A 14,059-nucleotide genomic window follows, 5' to 3' on the forward strand; every position below is an offset into this window, starting at 1 on the left:
GCCGCACTCCGCCACCAGGGGGCGCCACAGCTCCTCGCGCCGCCGCCTCCCGCAAACACAAAGAGCCGCGCGGCCACGACGGCCGCGTGCCCGGAGCGCCGGGGTCTTTCCTGGGCTCCAAAGTCAAGAGCTCACGTTCCGGGAGGATCTGTCCGCGGAAATTCGGTTCTGAGCGTCGCCGGACTCCGCCGCGGGGAGGCGGGTGAGGGGAGGGGGCCGGAGGGTCGGGGGTGCCGGGGGGTGCGGGAAGGCTGCGGGGGAGGCTGTTGGGGACGTTCGTGGCGGGGGAGGCTGTTGGGGACGTTCGTGGCGGGGGAGGCTGTTGGGGACGTTCGTGGCGGGGGAGGCTGTTGGGTCCCCTCCCCGCCCCACCGCGTCCCAGGGAACCCCGGCAGGGCACCCAGTGAGGGGGGCCCGGGCGTCCGCCCATTCCTCACTGCTGTCCCCGCCTGTGCCCGAAACCCCCGTTCACGTTCACCGAGAAAACAGACATAAACCCAGCCAGGCACATCCACTAGAATGGCTGTGATTTCAGAAAAGCGGACGTAAGTGCTGCCGAGGAGATGGAGGCGTTGGACCCCCTCGCGCATTGTCGGGGCGGGTGCAGCCGCGGTGCAAAAGGACCTTCCTCAGAAAGTTGAGCACGAAGTTCCCACAGGCCCGGAAGTTCCCCTCCCGGGCGCTCCCCAGAGAGCTGAAGACTGGGCGCGTGCCGGCGGCAAATGTTCACAGCAAAGGGCGGCCCAGTGCGCAGCTGGAACATCAGCCCCAGGCGGTCGCTGCGACAGGGACGAGCCTGGGAAACGTGAAAATGTCCAGAACAGGGAATCCACAGATAAAGAAAAGACATCGTGGTTGCCAGAGCTCGCGGGAGGGGGCAACAGGGACCGACTGCTTAACGTGTATGGTTCCCCTTCAGGGTGAGGACGTGTTCTGGGACGAGGTCGAGGTCAGGGTTGCAGGACAAGATGAAAGCGCTAAATGCCACTGAATTGTTTGCTTTAACGTCATTAATTTTGTTATGTGAATTTCATCTCAATAGAATAAATAGGTCAAGCTGGCTGCAGGGCCCACCCCACCGCGGCCTGGAGCAGGGTCTTCTGGGGTGTACCACCTCTGCCCTCACCCAGGCTCCACCACGACCAGCTTCGTCCACCCCCCAGGAGACCATGAAGGCCCACGTCTGAAATCCTCACTAAGCCCACCCTCCCATCTCCCTGAACTACGGGTAGGACCCCTCTGGCCCCCAGCCCTGCCCTTGACCCGGCCCACCAAGCCCCCACCCAGATCCACACCACCAGGCACTCTTGCCCTTGGCCTGCTGCCAGGCTGGCCCCGCTCCTTCTGGGCCTCCTGGAGCTTCAACCCCTGCCTCCACAGCAGACCTTGGCCTTTAGCATGTTCAGTCTCCTCAGTGGCAGCCCCGGGAGGGCCATCTTCTTGGGTCAAAGCCCTCCTCACTACCCACCCTCTTGCCAGGACTAGCTGTGTCCTGCAGCAGCCCAGCATGTGCCGTTGAGCTGGCCTTTTCTCAGGCCCAGTGCCCAAGGAGGAGCTGATTGCATAGGCTCAGAGTTTCCAGGAAGAGTGGGGACTCAGATGTCTGCCCAGGTGTCTCCACCGCGTCCGCCAGGGCCTCCAGCTTTCCTAACCAGGACCCTGGCCTCTGGCCTTGGTTGAGTATTTCACCTTCTTCCATGTTTAGTCCCTTGGGCTCTGCTACCCTCCTGCTGGAGGTGAGAGCATCCTGTGTGCAACCAGAGATGCCCTCTGGCTTTCAGACCTGCCTGCTTTTCACCCTCAGCCCTTTCTCACTCAGCAAAATTGTGGGGGTCCCTAGTCAGCAGCTCCCTGGGCAGCTCTCTGAGCAAGGTGGTCTCTGTGGTCATGAAGGAGAGCCGGCTAGGACAGTGCCGGAAACTCAGCTGCCTCTCCCCTTCAACTCAGCTGGCCCCCCGCACCTGAAGTGCACAGGAGCCGGGAAGAGAGTCTGGAGCCCACCCCGGAGGGCAGCACAGGAGGTGTCTCTGCAGCTGGTGTCCTGCCACCCCTGCAGGCAGCACACGTCCCGGGCATTCTCCTTAGCCACAGACAGAACAGCCAGTGCCAGAGTCTGCTGTCGCTTCCCCTTTAAGCACACTCATTCACCACACCCGAGGAGGCCAGAGGTGCAGGGAGCATGGGCTGTCGCTTCCCCTTTAAGCACACTCATTCACCACACCCGAGGAGGCCAGAAGTGCAGGGAGCATGGGCTGGGTGCACCTCCGCAGGAGAGAAGGCTGAGCCACCGCCGTCCCGGGAGCCCGGCTCCCAGGCCTCTCGTTTTCCCCTACCTCCCTAAGACTTTTCTGTCACTCTCTGGCCATTGAAAGGCTTCTGTTCCTTAAAGTGCTGTTACACTCTCCTTTCCCAGGATGCAGCAAGCCAAAACAGTACCACTGCACGTCAGCCTGGGTGACAGAGTGAGACCCTATCTTAAAAAAAAAAAAAATTGGCTGGACATGATGGCTCACGCCTGTAATCCCAGCACTTAGGGAAGCCAAAGTGGGCGGATCATTTGAGGTCAGGAGTTCAAGACCAGCCTGGCCAACATGGTGAAACCCCATCTCTCTACTAAAAATACAAAAATTAGCATGGTGTGGTGGTGCATGCCCATAATCCCAGCTACTGGGGAGGCTGAGGTGAAAGAATTGCTTGAACCCAAGAGGTGGAGGTTGCAGTGAGCCGAGATCACACCATTGCACTCCAGCCTGGGCAACAGAGGGAGACTGTGTCTCCTAAAAAAAAAAAAAAAAAAAAAAAAGTCTTCTTTCCATGATGAGAATGTCAGGCCCTGCAGCCTCTTGCACTGGCCAGAGGGGCTGGGGTCACTGTCTGTTTCCTTGCCCACCCTCAAGGGACAAGGAGGAGAGGTGAGGCTGTGGGCGCACCTGATTTTACCTGCTGGAGTCTGTGTTCTCTGGGATTAGGGAGCATCTGGAGCTGACTCTTCCTCCATGGGACCCTCCCTTTTTCAGGAAAACTTCCCCTCCTCGGGGATCCCGCAGGGCTAAGAAACACCCTCTTCACCTCCCTCCTGCCCGGTCCTTCTGACCAGCCGAGAGAGTACAGACCCTCCCCGATCTGGGAGGAGGGCCCATCACTGGCTCCCTGCCCCCTGCTCGCCAAGCCCCCCGGGACTTCCCAGGCTGTTCCTTCCACCTGAAGGGTCTCCCTCTGGCCAAGGCGAGGCTCACAGTTCCCCTGTCAGGATGGGGCCTTAGACACCCAGACTGACCCAGTGACAATCACCTTAATTCTCCACAGATAACTACCTACAAGTTTTCTGATTTATTCATTAGTGGATTTGTTCGTGATCAGCCCCACACCTGTTAGAATGGAAGCTGCAGGCAGCAGGAACCAGTGTGGCCAAGTCGGAGGGCAGCACAAGCCGGTCCTCCTCGTGGACAGCAGGTGTGGAGCAGGCCAGGCCCACAGGAGGGCGGGCAGGAGGGCAGGCACCGAGAGGTGCGGATGGCCTCTCAGAACAGGGGTGCAGGCTGGTGGGGGCAGCAGCTGGAAGGGGAAGGTCACAGAGCCAGAAAGATAGGGTGTCCGCCACAGCCAGTTCTTTGGAAGTTTCCCTGAAAAAGGGAAAAGAGACAAGATATGGTTCAAAGGAAAGCAGGGCCTGGGAGAGGCCTGTGTGCAGTGTGTCTGCAAAGGGAGGAGGAGGCAAAGATACTGAAGGTGAAGAGGGAAAGGAGGAAGGGACAGGGGAGGTGACAGAGGGAGGGGAGGGGGAGGAGGGGCGGGGGAGAGGAGGGAAAAGGGGGAGGCGATGGGACGGGGGAGGGAATGGGGGAACAGGTGGGAGGGGAGGAGGGGGTGGGGGAGAGGAGACAGGGGAGAGGGGAGTAGGGGGAGGGGATGAGGGGAAGGTGGGAGGGGAGAGGGGAGGGGATGGGGGAGGGAATGAGGGGACAGGTGGGAGGGGAGAGGGGACAAGTGGGAGGGGAAGGGATGGGGGAGGGATGAGGGGACAGGTGGGAGGGGAGGGAATGAGGGGCAGGGGGGAAGGGAGGGATGAGGGGCAGGGGGGAAGGGAGGGGGGTTTGGCCCTGCAGCAGGTGGGATTCTGCTCAGCCCATTTCCTGGGCCACGGGATTCATGAAGGGCACCGGGTCAGGCCCCCCGGGCGCACCGTTGCTGGTATATGCGGTGATCGGGGTCAGGCCCCCGGGCGCACCTTTGCTGGTATATGCGGGGGTCGGGGTCAGGCCCCCGGGCGCACCGTTGCTGGTATATGCGGGGGTCGGGGTCAGGCCCCCGGGCGCACCGTTGCTGGTATATGCGGTGGTCGGGGTCAGGCCCCCCGGGCGCACTGTTGCTGGTATATGCGGTGGTCGGGGTCAGGCCCCCGGGCGCACCTTTGCTGGTATATGCGGGGGTCGGGGTCAGGCCCCCGGGCGCACCGTTGCTGGTATATGCGGGGGTCGGGGTCAGGCCCCCGGGCGTTGCTGGTATATGCGGGGGTCGGGGTCAGGCCCCCGGGCGCACCGTTGCTGGTATATGCGGTGGTCGGGGTCAGGCCCCCGGGCGCACCGTTGCTGGTATATGCGGGGGTCGGGGTCAGGCCCCCGGGCGCACCGTTGCTGGTATATGCGGTGGTCGGGGTCAGGCCCCCGGGCGCATCTTTGCTGGTATATGCGGTGGTCGGGGTCAGGCCCCCCGGGCGCACTGTTGCTGGTATATGCGGTGGTCGGGGTCAGGCCCCCGGGCGCACCTTTGCTGGTATATGCGGGGGTCGGGGTCAGGCCCCCGGGCGCACCGTTGCTGGTATATGCGGGGGTCGGGGTCAGGCCCCCGGGCGTTGCTGGTATATGCGGTGGTCGGGGTCAGGCCCCCGGGCGCACCGTTGCTGGTATATGCGGGGGTCGGGGTCAGGCCCCCGGGCGCACCGTTGCTGGTATATGCGGTGGTCGGGGTCAGGCCCCCGGGCGCACCGTTGCTGGTATATGCGGGGGTCGGGGTCAGGCCCCCGGGCGTTGCTGGTATATGCGGGGGTCGGGGTCAGGCCCCCGGGCGCACCGTTGCTGGTATATGCGGGGGTTGGGGTCAGGCCCCCCGGGCGCACCGTTGCTGGTATATGCGGGGGTCGTTTGTGGTGTCATCACTGCTATCTTCCAGGCCGGGAGGAAGGACCGAGGGTGGGCCCGGCGCGGGTGGGGGTCCTGGGCAGGGGCGGCGGCGCGGCCGGGCTGGTCCTGGCGCTGGGACCCGCAGCTGCGCCCTCTGCCTGAGCAGAGACCGGGGCCCCCACGCTCCGCGCCAGCACCCGGCCGCGCCGCGGAGAGGGAAGGGTTACGGCGGGGATGGGGGTGGGGGGGTTGGCGGGGGCGCGACTGACGGGCTCGGGATTGGCTCGGCGCGCGCGGGACCCGGGGGCAGCTGCGGGCCCAGACTTCCCGGACGCCCTGGCGCCTCTGCTGCCCACGGCGGCCCCGAGGCCGCGCCCGCGGAGAGGGGGGCCCCCATCTCCTGTCAGCCGCAGTGACTGCGGGTGCCTGACGGCGCCGCCAGCCCGGGGGGCCCCTCCCGGCCCCAGCGGGGTCTCCCGGGGCTGCCTCTGTCGGTCCCGACCTGCCTGGTCCCTGGAGCTGGGGTGGGAGTCGTGCTTTGATCAGTCACCGGGGGCGGGGAGACTGGTCGACCACCCCTGAGGGCCCGGGACTTGTTTGCCACACCTGGGGAGTTTCGCGGCGGCATCTGGAGGGGTCCTGGTTGAGCAGCTAGGGGGGTGTCTGGTAACCAGCCGGGCCCCTCAGGCTCCCTCCCGGCAGGCCCTGAACAGACAGCCAGGGATGGAACTCGCCCCCTGGGCACCCTGTGCCTGCCCTCAGCCTCCCCACTGAGGCCCAGGACTTTAGAGGTGGGCGTGCCCGCCAGGCTGCCAGGCCGTCCCTCCGTGGGCAGCTGAGCAGGCCACAGTGTGGAAGAGGCTCCAGAAAACCCAGCCCTGCCGCTGCACACGTGCGTGGCCAGCAGATAAAGTCTTCCTTGTTATTGTGGGCAGCGTAGCTGCACCTGCGGTGAGGCCGGCACTGCTGAAGAGATGTCAATTCACAGAGCTTGACTATGACCCAAAGGTGAGGTCAGGACTCCGGGAGAGGATGGCAGCGGTCTTCAGGGGAAACTCTCCTTTTCTTCTGTCTGGACACTGGAGCCACACACTCGCCTGTCCCCATCCTCCCACAGCATAGGGCTCCTGGGACCTCGGCCCTGGGCAGGATTTGGGGGATGGCCACGTCTCTCTGAGTGGGCTCTGCTCATGGTCCTCACAAGGCCCGGGACATGGATGAGACCAGGCTTGCGTCCTCTGCCTCCCCGCCCCACTGTGGCTGTGCCAGCCTCCCTGACAGGGGCTCTTCCGTCCACGTGCCCCTCCTGGGCCACTATCCCGTTATAAACAGGCAGGAGTCTTCCTTCCAGCCTCCCTCTGGGGCGGGCAGGCAGCACGGCGATCACCTGCCCCCACTCCCTCATCTATCACCCTGAACTGTGTTCACGGTAAAATTACTCATCCTCAGCCAGTGATAAATGGCATCAGTCTAGAGCCAGCCCGCGGCAGGGGGTGGGGCTCCCTGCTCAGGGTTCCCAGGCCTGGGCCAGATAAACCTGGTGAGCTGCGCCTTTGTGCTCACACGCAGCTGGCAATGGCAAGTCAGTGGATTTGTACGTGTCTGATGTGTGCCCTTGGTAAAAGCACACGTGTGCACGATTCTGTGTGCATGTGCTTGCGGGGGCTGGGGGCTGAGGGAGGCCATCTGGGATGTGGGGTCTGGATGTGGTGGCCAGGGTGGGCGCTAGGCAGGCAGCAGAGTGGAGAAGGTATGTCACCAGGAGAAGGGACCCAAGGAATCGAAGAGCAGGGGGAGCCACTGAGTGGGGTGCAGGGAAGATGGGGTGTCTGGGAGCTCAGCCTCGTGCAGAGGGAGGGAAGCAGGCAGCTCCTGGGTGCACGGGTGGGGCATACTCTCTACAGATTCAATGCTGGATTTGTATAGTGTATAGATTTTCAATAGTTATTTAAAATCATCAAAAACAATCGTGTTTACAATTTACTGGGCAGCCACTATATGCTGGTCAACATCTAGAATTTATCAACAATTGTACAAGCCAAGTATTTTATCCTCATTTCTACAGAGGATAAAACCGAGAATAAGGAACTTTACATTGTCAATGATCAAACACCTAGTGCACCCATGGCCGTGCGTCCGCAGGACAAAGCAGCCTTTGGAGCCCTGGAACTTAAGATGTCCAGAGATCAGCAGCTCTCGGCTCAGGCCCAGGCAGCTGGACAGCACCCAGCGCCTCCTCCAGGTCCTCCTGGGTCCCCTCCTTTCTTTCACTTTCAGCCCGGGAATCTCTGTGAAGTCCTAGCTGATAACTAAGGGGTTAATGAATAATCACAGTGATGAGCTCTGGAGGAGCCATGGCCCAGAGCAGCTGTGGCCTCCTTTGATTAAACCACAGAAGTCCGGAGGATCAGGCCTCAAACCTCCACCACCTGCCAGCTGGCACCTGTGAAGGAGGTGGGACCAGCACCCACCTCACAGTGGCTGCAGGGTCACCTGAGATGGTGATTGCAAAGTGCTGAGCCATCGGGACACATATTTCCAAGACCTCCTGAGTGCCGGCTGGCCCCTGGAGCAGAGATGAGACCCCTGTGGGGCCTACAGTCCAGTTATGAAGGCAGGGTTCCTGTGTAAGCCAGCAGGCCCAGTTCTGGAAAGGCCAGGATGTGGGTTCAGAAGCTCAAGGACAATGGACTCATTCTGACTGGAGGGATCCAGGAAGGCTTCGTGGAGGAAGTGGCATTTGACATTGGCATCAAGGATGAACAGGAATAGAGAGAGGGGACTGGTGTCTGCGTGAAGGATCGCCAAAGCGCTGTTCTGGGGTGAGGGCGATCAGCCCCTCCTGCCCCTCCTGAACTATGAGGCTCGGGAGCCTTTGGCAGAAGGTGGCTCTGCACGCCCCAGGTGCAAGCTTGGAGCTTCCTTTTCTGCACTCCACAGCAGGAAGAAGGGCAGTGTGAACTGCTCACCACTGTCTTCCTGGGTTTGCAGCTCTGCGCCTGGCACAGAGACAGGCTCAGTGACGGTTGAAGGAATCGGAGAAATAATGAAAAGTGTGTTCATCCTGCAGGCAGCAGAGCCTCGGGTTAACCGTTAACGTCAGGAAATGACAGATCCAACGCTCCTGCTTGGGGCAGCGTGGAGGCCAGCGGAGGAACTGCAGGAGCCTAAAGGAGATGGCGCGCGGGCCTGGCTCAGGAGAGCAGCCGTCTGAAAGATGGCGGCGAAGGGTGCGGGAGGAGATGCCCCGGGCAGGGGCTTGGCGGGGTCTGGCACCAAACTTCCCAAAGCAGCTGCCTCTGTGAACTGTGCCTGGCAGGGAGGGAGCCACACCGGGAGTGACCCTAGACGCTGGCTCCCCAGGGGTGACTGGAGGCAGTGTCTCCCGCCCATGTGGGCCTCCGGCTTGGGGTCCCCAGAGCTCTGCCCTGCTGCTGGCTGCACTGAGAGAGGTGGCCTTCTGAATGGGCCCTGTCCCCGGGGAGCCTCTGGTAAAGAGATTCACCTGCACCCTCAAAACACGCCATGCCCATTGGAGGCTCTGGGTGCAGGCTGCCCCTCAAACAGAGAAAAACCACACGCTGTTTAAGACCCAAACCAAGGAGACAGCCCCTCATGCCCCCTTCTATCTCCCCTTCTGTCCAGGGCCCCCTGCCTGCTCTGGTCCACCCCGTCCTGACCCCCTCTGCCTGTTCATCTGAGGGCCGTGAGCCAAGGCCTGGGCCTGGCCAAGGGTCAGGGATCCTGGGACCTGCTTGAGACCATGCCCCATACACTCCTTCGGCCAGAAGGTCAGCCGTAGAGACAAACCCCCACCCTGAGCCCGCAGTGTCAGCAACGCCCTGTCCTCAGTGCCAGGCAGTGTCAGGCTGAGACCCGGGCCACCTGATCCAACGTCCACTCCAAGCAAGCCAGAGCCAGGTGCTGCCAGCCTGCCCATGTGCACACGTTAGCAGACAGGTTTCCTGGTGTGGCACACACGTGTTATGACCGCGGCTGCTGCCCCCAGCCCAGAGTGCACTTCCGGGTAATCCAGCACCCTGAGGCTTCACTGCTCTCCTGAGAGTTTTCTAAGATTAAATCTCCTTCACAATGACAGCCTCCTGTCACCTGGGCCCTGGTGACAAAGCCTTTGGAGAGGCAAGGACCCAGCCGGGGCATTCACAGTGGGCATGCTATCCACCCTCCGCCCCTGTCCTGGCCCCCACAGTGGAGCCGCCACCTTGGGTAACAGGGGCTGCCTGAGGTCCTGGAGAAGGAAGAACCAGGTGGCCCACCTTCGGTGCACAGGGAACAGCAGGGACCTGACGGCAGCCCCCGCACCCCTCCCTGGGCTGAAGTTCAGGCTGTCTCATCCCTTGCCAGGAGCTCAGGGCTGAGCTAGGTTGGCAGGGGATGGGTTGAGGGTCTGTTGTCCAGCAGATTGCCCGGGCCCCACCCAGGCCACTCAGAAAACACCTGTGAGAGCCCCGCAGGCATGCAGGGCACTGTCGTGAGCACACCAGTGGGGACAGACGTCCAGGCAGGAGGGAGCAGCCAGACCCCCATCCCGCCAGGGTCACCAGGTGAGCAAGGCTGGGGAACAATGGAGGCGGAGCCCCGCGACTGCCCAGCTCACTGCCCCCAGTGTCCAGGCTGTGGTGCAGGCGTGGGGACCCAGGTGTGTTCAGGGGTCTCCTTCAGGGAAGGAGACCAAGCTGGGAGTCTGGGGAGGCTGAGGTGTGAGGTGACAGCAGGTAAAGAGTGAGCCACAATCAGCATTTTCACATGAAAGGAAACTACAGGCCTGGGCGCAGTGGCTCACGCCTGTAATCCCGGCACTGTGGGAGGCTGAGGTGGGAGGATCACCTGAGGTCGGGAGTTCGAGACCAGCCTGACCAACATGGAGAAACCCCATTTCTACTAAAAAAAATACAAAATTAGCTGGGCATGGTGGCGCATGCCTGTAATCCTAGCTATTCGGGAGGCTGAGACAGGAGAATCACTTGAACCCGGGAGGCGGAGGTTATGGAGAGCCAAGATCGCACCACTGCACCCCAGCCTGGGCAACAAGAGTAAAACTCCGTCTCAAAAAAAAAAAAAAAAGAAGAAAGAAAAAGAAAAAAAGAAAGGCAACTACAGAAGGTGAGGAGAACCACCCGAGATCACCAGAGGGAACCGTGGAAGGTCCGTGGTCCACCAGCCAGGCTGGGGCACCTCAGCCCCTGGGCAGAGCACCAAGCAGGGCCGTGCCCTGGTAAAGGAGGGCACAGTCAGCCCCAGACTACAAGCTGCCTTGGTCCTCCCAGCAGGGCTTAAAAGCAAGACCCCAAAGGACCAAACAGCTTCCAAGTAACTTCCTGGAGTCCTGAGCAAAGTAAGCTTTTCTCAGCTTTGCTACAAAAATAGTCAGCACCCAGCAAAATTCACAATCCCTGTCACCCATTCAAAAATCACCAGGCATGCGAGGAAGCAGGAAAAGGAAAATGCACCCAGAAGAGAAGGAGCACCCATCAACGGGGCCGCCTCAGAAGCAACAGACGACCGGGCAAGTCCAAGGGCACCGAGGCACCTGCCACCACTGCGCCCAGCACTCCCGAAGCCAGAGGGCAGGTGGGACATAGGTGGGGACGTTCTGAGCAAAAACGCATGCGGCCAAGCTGGGGTCGCCCGTGGGAAGAGGGCGAAACGCTTGCACGTGGGTAGGGCAGTCTCTGCAAAGGGCTGTGTGGGCTCCGGGACCAGATGCTGTGAGGGCCTCACCAGCTGCGAGGTGGCAGGACCAGATGCTGTAAGGGCCTCACCAGCTGCAAGGTGGCTGTCTCTGCCCCACCCCACACGCTCAATGCATGTTAATTTCATCTTGTTTCATTCTCATTCCCATTTTACAGATTGAGGTTCAGAGAAGTCAGAAGCCTTCCCAAGGCTGCACAGCCAGAAGTGGGCACAGCGTCCTGGGGTGAGGGCTCACACCATCTGCGCCACCTGCCCTCCAGGTCCCACCATCCTCACAAATTCAAGGCAAGGTTCTGGAACCCCCAGCCCTCCAGAAAGGGGAAGCTGAGCCCAGGAAGCACATCTGAGAGTTCGGGTCCGTGAGTTTACCCTGCGCTCACGCCGATTCCTCCTGCATCCTCTGTCGGGATGTCTGGATTCCAGAGTCCCCACCCTGATTTTCCAACCTTGCCTCAGCCTTGGCTTCTCCCTTTTGGGGTGGGACAGGGAACCCCAGCAGCAGGTGTATGAGGGCATGAGAGGGCAGGAGGTGCCCTATGCCTACCCGCCAGACCAGGGCCCCAGCCCTGGACACAGGGAGAGAGCATGAGCGCTGTTCCTGCTCCCACTCCCTCATCTGAGCAGGTGCTCCCAGGTACAGGTGCCGAGTCCCACCCAGAGGGGCCCTGCCACAACCAGAGGACTGACAAACCCAGACACAACTGTCTCTTCCCCCTGGTCAGGGTCTGGGCAAGGGTCCCTCTGGGCTGCTGTCCATGCTGTGAGTGTCCGTGCTGTGGGCCACTGCCGTGGGTGTCCGTGCTGTGGCCTGCTGTCGTGGGTGTCCGTGCTGTGGCCCGGTATGTGAGGTTGTGTTTCCAACAGGGAGTAATTTGGCTTTGGTTACCTGAGGGTCTGAGGACAGGCACTAAAGCCCCACCTTTCTGGCTTCCAGAGTTGCCGGCTCCAGCAGCAGCCTCCAGGCCTGAGCAGGCTCTGGGGCTCCCACACCTGGGGGGCCAGGGTGGGGGTGACAAAGGGCCCCAGGCGACGGCTGAGAGCCGGCCCTGAGCCGGCCAGGGCGGGCAGCAGAACAGCCACCAGCTCCCGCCAGGCCCTGGCAGCATGAGCGATGGCAGGCCCAGCGATAAGAAACTAATAATTTATGCTTCCAGCTCCCGGGGCCGGCGCCGAGGGAAGGTTGGGCCACAGCCTCCCCCGCACTGAGCGGCTGCAGTCCTTTATTGCACAAATTATTAACGACCAGAGAATGAATGACTCTGTAATCAGATCAGGTTGCCAGCACTTTTCATTGCATTTATTTGTATAAATTCTGAAGTCGGGGTCTGCCCTAAGCTCAGCAAGCCAGCGTCGTGCTGGCTGGGCGCCCAGGCCCCCACCCAGAAGGAACACCCGTCCCTCACCCTGCCCACGGGTTCCAGAGGACAGAGGGCTCAGGAAGGGGTGCAGGGAACTGCTCTGAGCCAGAAGCCGAGTTCATAGGCACCCAAAGCAGCCCTGGGCCAGGGTCAGAGCTCTGTCCTTGAACCTGCCTCAGGGAAGATTCCCAACTGTCCTCAGAGCCAGGGGCACCCAGGGCTTGGGAGCTGAAGGGGGGTGGGTCTGAGACCAGGAGAAGGCTCCCCAGCCCTGAGGGAACCCTCATCACCCCCCTGCTCTCCTCGATCCAGGAACCGTCCCAGGGTTGCCCCAGGCCTCCTGGCTCTCCCGCCTCCATCCCGTGGGCTTCCCGGGAGCCCCAGGCTGGTCTCCCACCTGCCCCCTCCTTTTCTGGTCTTGCCTGGGCTGGGCCCAGGGGCTCTGGCTGTGGGTTTTCTGTGCAGCACCTCGCAGTGAGCCTGACGCTGGTCCTCTCCTGAGCCCCCGTTTAATCTTATTGACCTCTCGTTACGCTACAGAGCGTAAATTCAGATTTAGAGATCTTATGTTCCATCATAAATTGGGCTGGCAGACTTCCGATCAACAAGATAAAGCTGTCTTCCGTGAGGCTGGTGTTTTATTAGTCTTGGTCCCAGTGCTGCAGGTGTGGGCTGGGGAGTGCCTGAGGGAGGGGCCTCTGCTTGGGACCCTTCCTGCCTGGGCGAGGGGCTGAGTCCCTCCTGCCGCCCGGGCTGGGCCCCAGGTACCTGGCGAACAAAGGGACCCTGAAATTGCCGCCTTTCCCCTGCCTCTTGGGCTCTGCATATGATTTCAGCCAATCCCTGCTGCCCAGCCTCGCCCACCCGCTTCTGGGGCCACCCCCGCGTTAAGCAGGGCTGTGCAGCATGGGGGTCCTGTTCTCATTCAGCCACCGGCACGGCCACCCCAGTGTGATTCCTCAGCAGCCACACAGAAGACAGATGGTCCATAGGAGACTCAGAAACAGAGAAGCCTCACGCCAGGTCCACAGAGGCACCCACGCCCGCCAAAAGGATGCCACGCACTCACCCTGCCCTCTGGGGAGCACAGTGGGAGTCCAGGACACCGCCTTGGATGGGGTGAGGCTCCGTCTGTGACCTCAGAAAGTCAGTCTGGGGCTGGACTTGACATGGGAAACAGAATAAAACTGCCTGTCCACCTGAGCTTGCCGCCCTAAAAATCCCTGACATGATACAGAAGTCAGTGCTGACAGAGGGCCTGCTACCCCCAGTGACCCTGCCGGTGGGGTCTCAACCCACCCACTTCTTCTGGAGCAGCCGGTCACAGCTGTGGTCCTGCTGGCGCACACGGGTATGAGACCCTAAAACACACAGCGACTGCACAGTGCAACCCTGCATATCCCATTTGGGTACAAGTTTCATTACAGGAAGAAACACGGGGAGGGACCCCAGAGCAGCTCACGCGTGGGTACCCTCCGCTGTGTTAGCGTCCCGGCCCTCACACGGCACCCAGGCCTCGTTGGGGCAAGGCCTTGTGCAGACACGGTGGGATCTGCATGTGCACTGGGGCCTGTGCCTGGGCTGCTGCTCCCCGGCCACCGGTGTCAGGATCTCCAGGACCCCCATGAGTGGTCAGTGGAGCAGAGATGGCACAGACGCCAGCGACCTGGGTCATTCTCTACCTGGGATGTGGGACCCCAGAGACCATGCTGTGGGTCTTTATCTGCCTCTTCATGCAGGAGCAGGTGCGACCCCCGCCTGCCCCAGCCATGAGGCTCTGTCACAGGGGACCTCTGTGGCACCCTGTGCTGCAGGCAAGGCCTTAGGACAGATGCCACGCCACTGTCCAGGAGACTGTCTCCTGAG

At 61.5% G+C, this 14,059-nt stretch overlaps 2 long non-coding RNA genes across 10 annotated transcripts in view, besides 3 other annotated features; one reads left to right on the plus strand and one right to left on the minus strand.

Moving 5' to 3' along the window:
• Positions 1-110: a silencer, noted in NCBI's record as "silent region_3". NCBI's record gives its function as "represses an Ori minimal core promoter by ATAC-STARR-seq in GM12878 lymphoblastoid cells {active_cell/tissue: GM12878}" and the evidence as "EXISTENCE:reporter gene assay evidence [ECO:0000049][PMID:35858748]".
• The window catches only part of LOC284600 (uncharacterized), a 16,209-nt gene continuing 2,201 nt past the window's right edge, over positions 52-14,059 (plus strand). The window contains exons 1-7 of one of the 8 annotated variants that reach the window (XR_007065346.1): positions 52-202; positions 536-920; positions 1,043-1,228; positions 1,480-3,453; positions 7,186-10,712; positions 10,991-11,190; positions 13,123-13,396. This is a non-coding gene — a long non-coding RNA (uncharacterized LOC284600). Of the gene's footprint in view, positions 203-355; positions 3,454-7,185; positions 10,713-10,990; positions 13,397-14,059 lie in introns of those variants that run through there. The other 7 variants (XR_007065344.1, XR_007065341.1, XR_007065343.1 and 4 more) reach the window with 7 other exon arrangements.
• Positions 7,931-8,431: an enhancer, noted in NCBI's record as "H3K4me1 hESC enhancer chr1:848070-848570 (GRCh37/hg19 assembly coordinates)". NCBI's record gives its function as "activates a minimal SCP1, AML or CMV promoter by ChIP-STARR-seq in primed H9 embryonic stem cells {active_cell/tissue: H9 hESC(primed)}" and the evidence as "EXISTENCE:reporter gene assay evidence [ECO:0000049][PMID:30033119]".
• Positions 8,432-8,932: an enhancer, noted in NCBI's record as "H3K4me1 hESC enhancer chr1:848571-849071 (GRCh37/hg19 assembly coordinates)". NCBI's record gives its function as "activates a minimal SCP1, AML or CMV promoter by ChIP-STARR-seq in primed H9 embryonic stem cells {active_cell/tissue: H9 hESC(primed)}" and the evidence as "EXISTENCE:reporter gene assay evidence [ECO:0000049][PMID:30033119]".
• The window catches only part of LINC02593 (long intergenic non-protein coding RNA 2593), a 2,875-nt gene continuing 874 nt past the window's right edge, over positions 12,059-14,059 (minus strand). Inside the window, exons 3-4 of one of the 2 annotated variants that reach the window (NR_122045.1) lie at positions 13,263-13,356; positions 12,059-12,961 (exon numbers count right to left, since the gene is read on the minus strand). This is a non-coding gene — a long non-coding RNA (long intergenic non-protein coding RNA 2593). Of the gene's footprint in view, positions 12,962-13,262; positions 13,417-14,059 lie in introns of both variants that reach the window. The other variant, NR_026874.2, reaches the window with a different exon arrangement.

This window comes from Homo sapiens, chromosome 1 (genome assembly GCF_000001405.40).
Source record: "Homo sapiens chromosome 1, GRCh38.p14 Primary Assembly".
NCBI lineage: Eukaryota > Metazoa > Chordata > Mammalia > Primates > Hominidae > Homo > Homo sapiens.